The following is a 16,770-nucleotide window of genomic DNA, read 5'->3' on the forward strand; positions in this document are numbered from 1 at the left end:
AGTTTGAGACCAGCCTCGGCAACATGGCAAAACCCCATCTCTACAAAAATTACAAAATTAGCTGGGCATGGTGCTGGTGCATGCCTGTAGTCCCAACTACTCAGGGGGCTGAGGCTGGAGGATCGCTTGAGCCCAGTTGGAGGCTGCAGTGAGCTGAGATCACGCCGCTGTACTCCAGCCTGGGTGACAGTGTAAGACCCTGTCTCATAAATAAATAAATAAAGTTAAAAATGCTGCTAGTTAAAATAGAAGTTAATTTCCTAAATGCTTTCTTCTGTCTTTGGTATGAATATATTTACCTACGAATATATATATATATATTTATGATCTTCTGCTTAGGGTTTAAGATTCCAACATTGCACTTCATTACTATTCTTATTTTCTCTAACAGTTTTGAAAATTATGAATGTGTTGTGTTAGTAAATTTCTTTCTGAGGAAAACTGGACTTTTAGACCTTAAAGGTGTTCAAATTTTGTTTTTTAAACAATACCTCCCACAGTGGTAGACTTTATCACTGTATAAAAATGTACAGTGGTTTTATTGACATGTACATTCCAATATGTTTACAGCTGCAAGATAATGAGGCACACTCAGTATTGCACTTCATTAAAATTTCAGGCTCAAACTTAACCTAGAAGTTTAAATGAAATTGCATTTGTAATTTAGTAATTCTTATACAGGACAAACATTGATATGTTTATATACAGTGTGATACTTATTACATTTATATGCTGTCCTAACACAATGTTTTTTTTTTTTTTAAATAACAGTCTAGGAAATAAACCAGAATATTCCTCTTTTTATCCCCACCCGTGATGCAATTGTACAGGATTACAAAAAGGCAGTATACAATAAACAATGATTATTTTTCTTTTTTGCTTGAAAGCCAGCATCGTTCTTAGTCCATGGGCATGGCGATTCTTTTATATCAATTATCTATAAATGTCCAATGCTTCACAGGCCAATGACGGTAATGGCCACATGCAAACACCTCACAAGTTTGATGTCATTTGTTCAAAAGAAGATAAACCAAAATAATGGGGAAACTTTTCATAGCAAGAATTATGTACATGGTATTTGGTATCCTTCTTGCACTGTGAATGGTTCATTTTCATGGATGTAAAAATGGTCCCGTCCTTATCCTGAGCAGAGTTTAAACTTCACCGCATCCTCTTGGGGGATGAAGGCAATTTTTCTCTCTGTAGACAAAGGATCTGCGTGTTCTAAAAAGTGTGGGCATTTCTGCACACTCCACATCCCAGAGCAAACTCTTCCCCAGTGGGTGGATGAACAACATGGAGTGGACATTCAGTTCCTTCTAACTGCTTGCCTTTGGGACCTGTATAAATTTGAAGGAGGCAAAGGAAAATAATGTTTTAAGAATACACACATATAAACCTCACAGAAATATAAATCACTGATAGGTTATTCAAAGAAATAACATGACTATGGTTATACAAATATAACATTTAGAAATTTTTCTTCTGATCACAAAAGTAAAAAATGTTCACTATAAAAAATTCAACACAGATATGTACAATGGAAGAAGTGATGGGGTCCCTTACTCACTATATCCTGCCTAGAGAGGATCACTTCGAGCTACAGATCTTTTTCTATTAATAAATGCATCAGATATATCATTTTAAAACAGAGTAATGAACAAAAAAGGTCACAAAACCCCTCAATTTAGTCTGGCAGAACATTATTTTTCTGAATAGAAAACAGGGAGATTTTTGTGTAGAATGTTTTTCTATAAGTAAAAACATTTAAGTTTAAAGAAGCCATGTTTTCCCTTTTATTTTTACTGATGAAAAAGCCCACACTGGTAAAATGGGAAGGCCAATGATTCCTGTAATTTTTAAAAGTACCTGAAGGATATTAGCAGGAAAATGAAAGTTATCAGGTTAAAAACATGAACAATGTTATAAAATACAATGTGGAAAAAACACTTTGGGGAAGATATGAATTTGTTGATAATAATCAAAGTAGGCCTATCAAATGTACCAAAAACAGTATTTTAAAAAAGAAAATTATTATATTAATGTGCTTCACGTCATGGGTTTCATATCATTTAGAAAAGATTTTTAGTTCCTTTAGAAACCAGGAGGCTTACTTTGTCAGAAAAACACGCTAGGCTTATACTTGAAAGCAGAGTCCCTATTTAATAGTAGATGAAGGAATAGGAACTCTGCATTAGTTTTCTACAGCTAGTTTTCAAAATAATAAATCTAAATTCTGATTGTGCTTGAGAGAAAAATATCACGAGATTGGATGGAATGAGCTTACACTGATCAATGAGGAATGACGTCTCATTTACTTTACCTTTTCTAGGTTTAAAAACATTTCTGACATAAGAGAAGGAAACCATGATGGATAAAAGGCTAGCATTTATAAAGCTCTTAGACTGCACAGTATAATACCCAATAAATGTTGGCTATTACTACTATTACTGAACAACCACAAACTGAGGCCTGATCTAGAGGAATAAAAAGTAAGTTCTGTACAAGAGTAAGACCAAGACATTAGAGTGTCAAACTGAAGACAGCTAATCTCAGAGAAGTCAACTTCAGGTTAGAGCTAACAGGCATGAGAGTGGCAATGAGTGCCACCTCAGACAAATGCAGGCACAGACCTCAGGATGGGTCAGCATGGGAGGATGCCAGAGGTTTGCTAGAAAGTTAATTATTCCTGTTAGAAAGTAGTTCAGTAGCTCCTGCTCCAAATCACACTGCAGATTGGTGCCCACCCCACCAGTGGGTGGGGGAGAGTGCGCAGGATGGGGACACTCAATGGCAGATCTAGTTCAGATACACAACATATCAATGGTGGTGACACAAACTGCAGCCCTTGGGTTTTTTCAAGGAAAAAATGAGTCATTTACTCAACAAATATTTACCGCATGCCTAATATATGAAGGGCATTCTTAGGTACTTGGGATTAAAGATGAAAAGTGCATGGCTCCCATCTTCAAGGTGTTCACAATCCAACATGGTGGTGAGAAATAAAAATAGTGAAAACACACCTGCAAACATCTGAGTGCTTACTACTGAGGCACTGTTCTAGTATATCAGCTACTTAACCATTTAACAGTCATAGGAGGCAGAAACGATTATCCTCATTTTGTAGATATGAAACTGAAGTAAAATTATTTTTTCTGATTCTTAGATACCTCATCTTTAAAATAGACACAGCAATACCTAACTCATGGGGTGCTGTGAAGATTAAGTATCCTGGCACGAGAAGGTAGTCAATAAATATTTTAGAAAGAAATGGATAGAGGGATTATGCTATGGTCTGGATGTTTTTGTGCTCCTCCAAATTTATATACTGACGTGTTAATGAAAGGAGTTAGTTTGCCTTAGGTAGATAGCAAGGGAAGGGTCCCCAGAGAGCCCCAGGTCCACAGGTCAGTGCCTCATCCCCATATAACATAAAAAGCAGTTGGGGAAAAAAAGTCAAGCTGCAGGCACCGATGAGGGAACTAGCACAGGGCATTGTGCCTAAAGACATGCCCACGGCTGCACAGACAGAAAAACCTTCAATCAGATAAAGGACAAGACCTGGGATAGAAATGCCTTTGTCCTTTGTATAGTCAGGGGGCTCTCTCCTTTTGTGGGCATAGGCACAGTGGGCTCCAGTGGGTTCCTGGGCCAGGGTCCCGGGCCAAGCTGAGTCACGCTGCGGGCCAAGACAGCCCACAGACTAAGCACATTCCTTCCCCTTTCCAGTCCATAAAAACCCTGGGCCCCAGCCTCACGGGAGCATCCTGTTTGGGCCCCCCTCTCTGCTGGCAGAGAGCTTTCTTCTTTTGCTTATTAAACTTTCGCTCTAACCTCACCTTTGTATCTGTGCTCCTTAATCTTCTTGGAGGTAGGACAAAGAACTCCTGGCATTATCTCAGACAATGAGAGACTGTTATATCTTGGTGCACTGCTGAGACTACAACATTAACACCAATGTTATGGTGTTAGGAGGTGGAGCTGTGGGAGGTGATGAGGTCATGGGGTGGAATCCATGAATGGGATTAGTGCTCTTCCTATCAATGAGACCCAGGAGAGGCCCCCTGCCCTTCCACGACAGCAAGAAAGTGCCACCTATGAGGCTGAGAGTGGGTCCTCACCAGACACCTCGACTGCTAATTCCTAGATCTTAGACTTCCTGGTCTCCAGAACTGTGAGAATAAATTTCCACTGTTTATAAGCTACCCAGTTTACAGTATTTTGTTATAGCAGCTTGAATGGATGAAGACTGATTATCTAAAAATATTAGAATTAACAGGGTTGAGAGTGGTTAGAGAATTGCTTCTTCTGTCCTTCTAAGTAAACTGTATATGGCCATCTTCCCTACTCACATCCCTGTGGGATCTCCTTTATTCTATTCCAGTTCTCTAAATGAATGGATGAGTTAGAGGGATGTGTGAGGCTGGGAGAGTATACCTCAATCTCAGTGTATGTTCTTAGGCCAGTTCATTAACCTCCCTAGCCCTCAATTTTCCATTTGATAACATAGGGATAATACCATCTACTCGCAGATTGTAAAAATGGAGCAAATATGTGTGAAAATGCCCAGGACCGAGGTCATTCCTTCCTTCTGCCAACTCTGGCTCCTCCCCCGCCTCCCTCCTGTGATTCCTTTGTGTTGGCTGCCCTGATCCTGTGAGGAAACCTGACCCTCCTCTCTCAGCTACTACCCACCACTGAGTTCTCTAAAGTGTTTCATTGTTAACTTCCTTATTTTTAGCATTCTTATTTCTGTTTTTTAACATAGAGGAAACTTTAAGTAAAATCTAGATTTCCCCTGAAGATACTGCTTGCCTTAAATCTTTCTCAACTGGAGGCTGGTTATCTCCCAAGCTCCTCCAGGTCATATGGCTACAACGTGTGACTGATTTTTCTCTTGGCTCCTATTTCTTTCCAGACCACAACCTACAACTTTCATTCAATAATTGCCCTTCCTCCAAGCTCAAGTCATCTAGAGTCATCTAGAATACTGCCCTTTCCACACTCCCTTCACTTGCTGACCTCCAGCACATCACCCCCTCCCTCCAAGCATGGCTCACATCTCTGTTCTGTCCATTATCCTCCATAACCTGGCTTCACATCATTCTGGCCTTGCTTCTTTCAAAGCCTGCTACTTCTATTAAAAAAAAACAGTATTTGAGGAGAAACAGTAAAACAATTTTTATTTGACATGAGCAAATGGTAAAAAGTAGTCATACTTGAAAAAACCCTACTTATCTTTATTTTGAAATGGATAGTATATGTTTCACATGGTTTAAAATCAAAATGTTAAAAATGATAACACAATTGGAAGCAACTTTCCCTAGTCTCTACCCTCATCTTTTTCTTGCTTTTCCCAATAGTTAATCAATAGTATTAGTTTCTTGAGTATCTTTCCAGGGGTTTCTTTATGTAAATATAAACAAATATGACTAGATAGTCTCATTTTCCCTCTTACAAAAGGCAGCATACTGCATACTCTGTTCTGCAATTTGCTTTTTTTTTTTGAAACAGCTCTGTCGCCCAGGCTGGAGTGCAGTGGCGCAATCTTGGCTCACTGCAACCTCCGCCTCTCAGGCTCAAGTGATTCTCTGGCCTCAGCCTCGTGAGTAGCTCGGATTACAGGTACCCGCCACCATGCCTGGCTAATTTTTGTACATTTAGTAGAGATGGGGTTTCACCATGTTGGCCAGGCTGGTCTCGTACTCCTGACCTCAAGTGATCCACCTGCTTCGGTCTCCCATAGTGCTGGGATTACAGGTGTCAGTCACACCACTTGGCCTAATTTACTTTTTTCATCTGATGCTATCTCCTGAAGATCTTTCCAAATCAGCACACAGAAACACCATCCTCACTCTTTTTTTTTTTTAAACTGATGCGTAATATTAGCCACTACCCTACTGGACACTAGCATTGTTTATACATTTTTATTATCATAGCAAAGCTGTAGTTAATAACCTTGTTTATTTGCCCTTTTTTACTGTCCTCACATTTGTAGCTATATCCCTGAAGAGGGAGTGCTGAAGGGTTGATACGCTGGTAATTTTGAGAGGCACTATTAAGCTGTTTTCCGGAGAGGTCTATCACTTGCACTCTGATAGGCAGCAGATGGCAGTGTGTGTTTTCTAGCTTTGACAACACGGTATATTGTGTTGTATGTACTTGTGCATGTATTTTCACTAATTTCAGATATATCTTATGTAAAATTCTCTCCTATGGTTGCACGGACCTCTCCTTCCACTTCTCTCACTTCCGTGAAGCCTGGTATTCCACCTCACCGTTGCCACTAGCCTCCTGTCCTCTTCCAGTATTTTCAGCTTCTTTTTGGTTTCATACTTCTTTCCCCTCAGCCTGCTTTCCATAGACAATAATTTCTCCTGTATTCTGAGTGGTTTCTTTAATTCCCTTGACTTTCTGATGCTCACTACACTACTGATTCCCAGCCATTCTAGATTAAATCACTTGGTTCATTTTATGGCAACGGTTCCAGGCTTCGTTAAAAAAAAAAAAAAATCACAGAATCCTTTTAAATGGTTCTGTAATATTGAACTTCATATGACTTTTTAGTGCTGAACAGCCATCTTTTCACCAATCCTTAGTAGACTTCATTCTCACTCCCCATGAGATCTGCTCCGTCACAGCTAACTTCTCACTCATGATGATGAGCCTGCTTCCTAATTCACCCAGAAAGTCATAAGCTTACAAGGATCAAGGAATTCCTCCTGCTTCTTTAGGCTAGTTTGAATTGAGTTTCTGTCACTTGAAACAGAGCTTTCATATAATGTTTACATAAAACTATGGTATATAGATCATAATCGTGATTTTAAAATATTAAAAGCATACCTGCAGGACAGTGTGGTAGTTCTTCCTTAGGAATGCTAGTCATTCTTTGAAAATCATCATGACAAGCATTACAAAAATGTGTTGTTCCAAAACAGAAAAAAACAGCCACTGAACAGCAGTAGCGACATTTATATTCCAAAAAGTCTGTGCCATGTTTGGGACACATCTATAGCAAAAGAGAAGAGACAGACACAAGATCATAGTGAGACTATTTCAATCACACTTAAGATAGGCATATACATAGACAGCTCCTTAATTCATATTTTGAGGGCCTACATAACTCTAAAAATTGATTGAAAAACTGATGATACACATGTTTGAAAACTAACAAATAAATATGTGGCCTGTCCAAAAGGTCTGGACAAAGATCCAAGTTCTAATTCCATTTCCATCATAATCTATCTGATTTAATAAGCAAGGTACTTAATTTCTTTATGAATGTTTTATGGCTGGTCAAACTGAAAATTAATGAAATTAACCTCTCTTATAATCTCACAGATGTACTGTGAACATTTCACTGAAGAGGGGAAAACCTAAAAGTTTCACTGCACGTTTAAGAAACTAAGAAAATAAGAAAATTTATTACATTGTTTAACTATGGTGATCATTTCATGGAAGACAAAATTATAAAATAAAAATATCGCCCAAAGGAAATAATATATATGAAATAATGTGAAAAATTATACAACACTGAACAAATATCAGAAAATACTGAGGAGAAAAGCCTGATTTACATTCCCACCATATTATTGTTTAAAAAATAATACTATTTAACATTTCTAAACTGTTGTTTCTAATAAAATGTTCTGCCTACCTGAGCCCTGGAAACATCAGAACAGGCACCACAAATGAGCTCTCTGGGATCATAATCATCTCCCCGTCCAGCCTCAGCATCGCAGCGAGCTTCACCACCAAAATATGCCTGTGGAGAAAACACATCTAGATTACAGCAGGAAAAAAGAAAACTCTGGCATGGGAGATACAGTATGGGCATAGTGAAAGTAAGATCTAGGGGTTTTAGAAAATACCATTATCTACTAGACCATCCCTTGAAATGCCAAGTGCATGCCCATATTGCTTGCTGACTGTATGTAGGGTGGATCAGGGTAAGAAATAAAGCTATTTCTTCTTTTTCTTTCTTCCCCTCCTACCTTCCTTCCCTCCTTCCCTTCCTTCCCTTCTCTTCTCTTCTCCTCTTCCACCTCTCTCTCTGTTTCTTTGAGACGGGCTCTCACTCTGTTGCCCAGGCTGGAGCATAGTGGCGCAATCATGGCTCCCGACAGCCTCAACCTCTTGGGCTCAGGCGATCCGCCCAACTCAGCCTCCTGAGTGGCTAGGATCATAGGTGCACGCCACCACACCCGGCTAATTGTTTAATTATTTGTAGAGACAGAGTCTCCCTATGCTGCCCAGGCTGGTCTCAAACTCCTGGGCTCAGGTGATCCTCTTGCCTTGGCCTCCCAAAGTGCTGGGATTATTGGCATGAGCCACATGCCTGGCCTAAAGCTATTTCGACTCTCAAATGGATTCAAGCTTAAAGTAGGCAGTTACATTGTCCTGTCAAAACAAAAAAGTATAATATTCCAAGTAAATATCAACAGAATATTAAGTAGTAAAAGCTATGCTTTTTTCAGGGTAAAGTTTGAGAAATTTTTCTCATTTTGAAATATTAAAATACATATCCCCTTCTACTGTTTTAATAAATATGCTTAGCAGTTCCCAATTTATAATACTGTAGAACAAAATATACATAAAGTAATTAGTATAGAATTATAATTCCAAGGCTAATGGGAAAGAAAAAAGTAATTTTAAGCATCCTCTGATCACACATTTTTTAAGAAGAAAAGGCCGGCTGGGCATGGTGGCTCACACCTGTAATCCCAGCACTTTGGGAGGGTGAGGCAGACAGATTCCTTGAGCTCAGGAGTTCAAGACCAGCCTGGGCAACATGGCAAAACCCATCTCTATCAAAAATACAAACAAACACAGAAATTAGCCAGGCGTGGTGGTGAGGACCTGTGGTCCCAGCTACTGAGAAGGCTGAGGTGGGAGGCTTGTTTGAGCCCAGGAGGTGGAGGCTGCAGTAAGCTGAGATCATGCCACTGCACTCCAGCCTGGGTGATATGGTGAGACCCCGTCTCAAAAAAAAAAAAAAGGCAAATTTGATAATTCTGTTCAGAATTCTGCTCATAGTTATAAAGTTATGCAGTAGGCAGGAACTCAACAGTTTCCAATACAGACACTTGCATAAATAGAATTTGAATAAATAAAATTATCATGAATAAATAAAAATATCATGATGGGTGATTTATCTGTATTTGCCCTGGGCAGAGATTAAGTGAGGCCAAGGAACTGGGACAATTTGCATGCACTGATTGTCTCATAGTCAAAAAGCTATGTCCGGATTGGGAATAAACAAACTGAGTCAATATAAATCTATTATCTATACTAGAAAAACAGGTCCAAAGACAGGATCCATTGATGCAGAGGTTATAAACGGTCGTTCACCAGCTAAACCTAACCCTGGAAGTATTTCGGTTTGTCTTGGGGACTGCTTACTCCAGCTGTTTCACTTTTCTATATCCTCTGCTTGGCTTCCTAAGCATTTGACTGCTACCCTGTAATAGCACAATATTCATTTATAATGTTTAGTACATGAAACACACAGAAATACTATTTTATTATTTGTAACAATACAAGCTTCATAAATGTGCACTATTGGGTGTGCATGTATTTATCTGCCTTTCTGGCTATCATCTCTCTACTTAGACATCCATTCATCCTCTGTATTTTCTTTTTGCTACATTGGGAGACTATGCACCTTTCTCATGTAGTCATTCTTTCACTCATTTATTCATTCTCCACTTAACTTTGTATCTAGTAAGTGCAAAGTACTAGAGATAGAAAAATGAAAAAACATACTCTTTGTCCTCATGGAACTTATCAAGTAGGGCAGAGAGATAAGTGGTCCAGTAGTCATAATGCAGAATAGGGAGTTCTATGCTAGATGCCTGCAAGATACCAAAATCATGTGGTGGTGGTGTTGATGGAAGTGAGATGGGGGTATGTTACAGAGGAGGTGAAACCTGAGCTGAAGCCCGAGGTATGACAAGACAGATTAGGCTCTGCATGACAGCATGTGTGTATGGGGTTGGGGGTGGCAGGTCAGAGTAAAATATGCAGGGGGAGGTAGAGAAGAGCATCCTTTAAACACCAATGGCCTGTGCAATGGCATGGGGGTGTCAGTGGGTGAGCAGACAGGGCTGAGTTTGGGAAATGCAAGTTATTTGGTATGTGGCAGCAAATGGAGAGCAAATGGTAGCATCTTGGGAGATGAGACTGGAGAGGGAGACTGGGCTACCGTATTATAAGTAGAAGAGTGATCCAGTTAGATTTTAGATCTAGAAGTATTAATTAGCAGCAGTGTAAGGGATGCAACAGAGGAATTAGGGGTTCTACACCCGAGCTCAGGAAGAAGGCTACTGTAATTACCAAGGAAAATGATTAGGTTTGCTGGAGATGTAATGGAAAGAAAAAAGGACTCAAGAGAGATCTGGAGACAGAATTGATAGGATTTTGTCAATAAAGATCAGAGATTGGTAAAGTCTTTTTTTTTTTTTTTGAGACAGGGTCTCACTATGTCACCCAGGCTGGACTGCAGTGGCACAAACACAGCTCATTGCAGCCTCAACCCCCTGGACTCAAGCGATTCCCCTGCCTCAGTCCCCCAAGTAGCTGGGACTACAGGCAGATGCCAACCTACCTGTCTAATTTTTGTATTTCTTGTAGAGATGGGGTTTTGCCATCTTGCCCTGGGTGGTCTCAAACTCCAGAGCTCAAGAAATCTGCCCACCTTGGCCTCCCAAAGTGCTGGGATTACAGGTGTGAGCCACTGTGCCCGGCCAAGATTGATGAATATAATACCTGACATGTGAACTCTGAAGTATGTGTGAGAGATCCAAATGTCTGGTACGCAGTTGGTTATTTGTAACTAAATCTCAAAAATTTTGGGGGGTCATAAACATATACATGGTAGGTGAAGGTATAGATGTAAAAGAGGTCACCCAAGGTAAGGAAGTATTTATTAAGTAGGCAAGAATGGAGCTCTAGGAAAACAAATATGTAAGGGGTAGGTTAAAAAAAAAAAAAGAAGAAGTAGTTAAAGATAAATGACTAGAAAGGAAGGAGGACAGAAAAAGAGTGTGTTGTCCTGGAAGCCAAGGAATTAAGGGTTTTAAGGAAGGAATGGTTAGCAGAGTCAAGTGAGAGAAGTTTATTCGAGAAGGAATTGCCCTGGGCCAACAGGTTATTACTGATGGGAAGCAGCTTGTATACAGAAATACTGCATGTTTCGAAAAGTTTGTTCAGGTTAAATAAAGAATCCCCAAACAAGTTAAGTAAACAAGTTTTACTGGAAACATTGGGAAACATTGTACCAAGCTATCTTATTTTTAACTTCAGGCTTAAGATGGAATAATTAGATATCACTGTACAATTTGAATTCTTAATCATATAGGTAAGCTCTAGTTTTTAAAACTTCTCAGTATAATTTATAGCATACCTTTCTGCATTTGTAGCACACATAATATGCATATCTATTCATTGCATAGCCAGCTGGGTCATTATAAAACCTCACACCAGGAGTTGTGATAGCTTCACTCTTATGCAGACCTTCATATTCCAATCTCATTAAGGCTTTTCTTCTGACATCCTCATAGAGTTCTTTTATTGGATCAAGTAGGTCTTTTAGTACTATGTGATTAATTTTGTTCTGCAATAAAAAATGAACACTCTTTAGCAGAATCATTTATTAACCAACTCAACAAACACTTAGCATGCACCTAAGTGCCAAGCATTGTGCTAGAAGATAACCAGACAGCACACATATTCTAAATAAAATGTCATTTGAAAAACATTCTGTAAATTCTTTAGAAGCCCATATTTTTCCAAGAGCAGGGAAAATGGGGCAAATGGGACACAGAGCATGAAAATTCCATTTTATTAGCTTTATATTTCCTGCGTCTGAAATATATCTCCTGTTGCCCTAGCTATTGTGGAAACAAAGTTACCTTGTTGCCACAAATAAGACACGCTCTGTGTTTGGTGTGTGTGTGTGTGTGTGTGTGTGTGTGTGTGTGTGTGTGTGTGTGTGTGTGTGTGTGTTTTGCTTCCTTGAGGGGAAGGCAGAACGCCAGGTGACAGAAGTGAACAGGTAGTATTTGCTGTAAAACTTTCATGTATCTATTAATATTTGTAGCACCATATGATAGGGGAGAGCAAAATACTACAATCTTTTTGATTATTCCTCAGTCTATCTAGACAATGATTGTGCTAAGTCTTTCCACATTCTACCCTTTATATTAGTTTGCAAATACGAAGATAAGAAAATAGGGAGAGCTTAATAGAACAAAAAGGGGCGATGAATTAATAGGGAAAGTACTGCCACATTCTTCAAAAACAGCTTTTTGTTAATCATTATTAGCTTGCCAAAACAACTTCCTACTTGCTGACTACCTTTGTACAAATGTGTCAAAATGCCAAGAACTTTCTCCTTGTTTTAACTAAGCTCTAAAAGAATCTGTTCTAGTGGTACTGAGGGTTCCAATTTCACTCTTTAATGGCAGGTATCAGTTTCTACAAACACCAGAGGATCATTCTTCTTTTTGGTAGCCGTTGTCATGTTATGTCAACTGAGCTCTCTAGTGGTCTGAGAGTAGAGATGCATGCCCTTTAATGCATCACGATGTTTAAATGAACTTTCTCATGTAATATGTTTAACAGAATGTAATCAGTTTTAAATGGACAATTACTGTTTTGAGATGCATTATAACAGAGAGATTATATTCTCAGGTTCCACATGAATGAGAAGGGAAGAAACTGCTAGGGGCTGGTGGGTAAAACCAAGAGATACTGACATATGTTTATTTTGAAAGGTGAAAAGAAAGAACAAAAGAAAAAGAAAGTACATGATTTCAGATTCTTTCCATACCTTGCAAATGGGACAAGATATAAATCCAAATGTTATCCTTGGGCCAAGCCATCGATTTTCTAATACTCGCCGACAGCACTGTAAGTGGAATATGTGACTACAATCCAGCTTAAATAAACAAAAGAAAAGGACATAAGCAAATATAATAATGATAAACAGTTGAGTGACTGGGAGATTATTTAATGCAAGGCACTACTTAAAGCAGGTAAGAGAAAAATCAAGAAATTTACTATAATGAAAATTCATTGGGACACTGAAATTGGGACATTATTATTTACTAAATTTCATTACAGTAAATTGGGATACTATTAACTAGGCCTTTGGCTTCTCCTGCTTTTTAACATTCATGCCACTTATATAAAGTAAGCTAGGTTAGGAAAAAAAGTAAAATTATTCAATTTTGTATCTCACAGAAAGAAGAAGAAATTACTGACTTATGATTTTCTTTTGGAGACTATTATTATCTTGGAATCATGAGAACTGAAAATATAAGCAATGGGCAAAAGTTAAAAAAACCTATTTAGTGCACAGTAACTTGTGTATGTATAGAAGTATGTATCATTATGTATAGATCAATTATATAATGTTGTAAAAATACCATTCTGGATTTTGGAAATTAAGAAGAGCCTTAGCTACTGGGGGATAATCTAATTATTTCCCCCTGGCTTCTGAATATTTTATACATTCTGTTGATTACAGAGGTTCACACAAATCACAAATTAAAGCTGAGCATGCAACATAGAAAGCACAGCATAAAGAGGCAGAATTTGCTCCTCATTAGCCTGGTACATGTATAGATTAAAAGAACACTTCTGCCTAGTGATATAAAAAAAGATTTCAATCAACTGCTTTTTTTTTTTTTTTTTTTTTTGAGACAGAGTCTCGCTCTGTCACCAGGCTGCAGTGCAGTGGTGCCATCTCAGATCACTGCAAGCTCCGTCTCCTGGCTTCATGCCATTCTCCTGACTCAGCCTCCTGAGTAGCTGGGACTACAGGCACCCACCACCACGCCCAGCTAATTTTTTTGTATTTTTGTAGTAGAGACGGGGTCTCACTGTGTTAGCCAGGATGGTCTCGATCTCCTGACCTCGTGATCCACCTGCCTCGGCCTCCCAAAGTGCTGGGATTACAGGCATGAGCCACTGCGCCCGGCCTCAATCAATGTTTATTTGACAAATATATTCCCCATCTTAATGTCTGGATACATTCAATACTTTAAAAGCTGAGGCAACCTGAATGGCTGGTGCTGCCGAGAGCGCTTCGGTGAAACATATCATGCACATGTCATCGGCGTCTTGCTTCAGGCTTGTGGCACTTTTGTCACAGCCGTGTAGACAGGGCAGACAGTGCTCTTCGTTTTTAACACCCCCGCATGGATGGCCACAAGGATGCGTCTTACTACAGGCTATCTTAGCGTATTCCTGTTAAAGATGAATTACAATGTTACACAAGTATGTAAAAAAGCACACATTCTGGTAATTTTCCTTATTATATAAATTTCCAAAGATTACTTTCCCACAGGAAGTATCTATGCAGGCCAAGTAACAACAAAGTAAAGTTATTTCTAATCTTTGTTTGAATATAAATTAGGCTTCTTAACAAAGTTTTTTTTTTTTGATGCGATTTTTAAAAAATGCCACTCTCTATAAAGGGAATGCTGATAAGTGAATTATAATTTCATATTTGTCATCATGCACAGCTATAAAGCAAAAAGTTCCTGGCTGGGAGTCGTGGCTTACACCTGTAATCCCAGCACTTTGGGAGGCTGAGGTGGGCAGATCACGAGATCAGGAGTTTGAGACCAGCCTGACCAATATGGTGAAACCCCATCTCTACTAAAAATACAAAAATTAACCAGGCATGGTGGCGCGCGCCTGTAATCCCAGCTACTTAGGAAGCTGAGGCAGGAGAATCGCTTGAACCCGGGAGGCGGAGGTTGCAGTGAGCCGAGATCGTGCCACTGTACTCCAGCCTGGGCGACACAGCCAGACTCCGTCTCAAAAAAATAAAAAATAAAAAAAGTTCCCCAATGTATAATTTCCCAGTCACCACTCTCCGCATCACCAAAATGCAGATTTTTTTTTTTTTTAAAAAGGTACCTTTGACTCTCTGAGCATATCCACATTCTTATTAATTGAGAAACCAAAAACATTTGGACAACATAGAATATGTTTATATATGTTCAGGATTAAAGAACTCTTAGATGTTGAAAATGTATTTTAAGGAAATAAGTGAATAATGTCTGTAAGAGATAAAGGAAATACAGTTCATAAATTTTTAACTGTTTCTAGTACAAAAGTAGATATTAAATACATATGATCATGGTAACTGAGAAACATACAAAAAGAGTGTGGTTTGGGCTTGAGAGCCTTATTTGACCCATTCTTCAACTTTGGTAAGGCATTTGATGCTTCACATAGGTAATACACTCATTTAGGAAGCTGGAGTGACGCTGAGCTAAAACTCTTTTCTGTATGAAGTAAAGGTGTCACAGGGGAACATGGACAATGGGATGGCCTGTGTCACTATATACTCACCTGGCAATCTGCATCAGAACAAACACTGCCAACAGCAGATAACTCTGTTCCACTCCTGGAACCACAGAAGCGACATGCTTCTGAGCTACTCGTGGTGGGTTTGCCTAGGTTCAAGCAGAAAAATAAAAATCCTTCTTATGGATGTTTTCTAGATATGTTAACAGAACTAAATTTTAAAAAGCAAACTAGGTTTGTATAAGTTGCTATCCTTGGGAAATCAGCCTGACAGTTTTAGAACGGAAGGTTTCTAAGTTGTCCTAATTATAAAGTAAATAATGACACACAAAAAAAGAAATTAAAGACCTATCTGAAGCCAAATACACTCTCGACTAATATTTTTTTTCAGTGAAAGAAACAGACTAGACTTCTAGTCAAGTTACCAGACTGAGCAGCTGTTACAAGCCCCTGACTCCAAATGCACAATACCATAAAAAATATGATAACCAAAAATTAAATAAAAATACACAGAAGTTAGGGAAATCTTTAACTATATATAACAAAATTATAAGGCATGGTATAAAGCCTATCATCAGAGTATGAAACTTGAAAAACAGAATTCCTACCTCAGGAACTCTGCAATTTGAAAAGGAATTTAAATATGTTTGAAATACTTAAAGAAGAAACAGAATCAATAAAACAAGAACAGAGCAATAAGAAAAAGAACGTGAAGATTTGAAAATTACAGACCAAGCTGATTTTTAAACACAGATATAAAAATCTAACTATAATTAATATCAATATATTGAATTCAGCAATATTTACAGAAAAATCTATTTAAAAAGGATGGTTTACAAGGATGGTTTGACATTAGAACATTTATTAATGCAGTATACAGCACTGACAGATTATAGGAGGAAGAAATCAACTATGAGAAAAGAAGGTCATGCTCTTGCAGCATGCAAAGTCACCCTAGAATTAAATTGATTCGGATTTACACCTAACTCCAACACTGGAAGTTCGTGTCAGTCAAATGGCAGACTGCAGATGTGCTGAAAACTGAGAATTTGTAAGATTCAACATAACTTTGAACTAGGAATATACAAGATTTACTTTAGAAAAGCAGCAAAATGAAAACTATGTTTTAGAGATAAAAATACATTTAACATACATAGGTTACCTTTTGTTTTATGTCTATTCATTTTTGTTAATTATTTTATTGCTATCAATGGAAACAGTACCATTCACAACACCTTCAGAAGCATTAGGTCTACAAAAACCTCTAAATATCATAAAATCATACAACCTTATAATAAATAGAGATCTTAGTGATCATCTAGTGCAGCAATTTTTATTGTGGGGCAACAACTAGCAGAACTAGAAGGGAATTATCAATAGAAATGTATTTTATCTATGGAGCCCCATTAGTTGTGATCCTCTCACTTTATAAATGAAGTCAATGAG

At 38.5% G+C, this 16,770-nt stretch overlaps 1 protein-coding gene across 1 annotated transcript in view; it reads right to left on the reverse strand.

Annotated features, from left to right (window-relative positions):
- The window catches only part of MYCBP2 (MYC binding protein 2), a 282,438-nt gene continuing 266,171 nt past the window's right edge, over positions 504-16,770 (reverse strand). Inside the window, exons 77-83 of the mRNA NM_015057.5 lie at positions 15,370-15,473; positions 14,065-14,253; positions 12,833-12,940; positions 11,405-11,614; positions 7,658-7,765; positions 6,844-7,009; positions 504-1,340 (exon numbers count right to left, since the gene is read on the reverse strand). Of these exons, the coding sequence (NP_055872.4) occupies positions 1,225-1,340; positions 6,844-7,009; positions 7,658-7,765; positions 11,405-11,614; positions 12,833-12,940; positions 14,065-14,253; positions 15,370-15,473 (1,001 nt within the window). The 3' untranslated portion in view covers positions 504-1,224. The remainder of the gene's footprint in view (positions 1,341-6,843; positions 7,010-7,657; positions 7,766-11,404; positions 11,615-12,832; positions 12,941-14,064; positions 14,254-15,369; positions 15,474-16,770) is intronic.

The sequence above is a fragment of the Homo sapiens genome, chromosome 13 (genome assembly GCF_000001405.40).
Source record: "Homo sapiens chromosome 13, GRCh38.p14 Primary Assembly".
In the NCBI taxonomy this organism is placed as follows: Eukaryota; Metazoa; Chordata; class Mammalia; order Primates; family Hominidae; genus Homo; species Homo sapiens.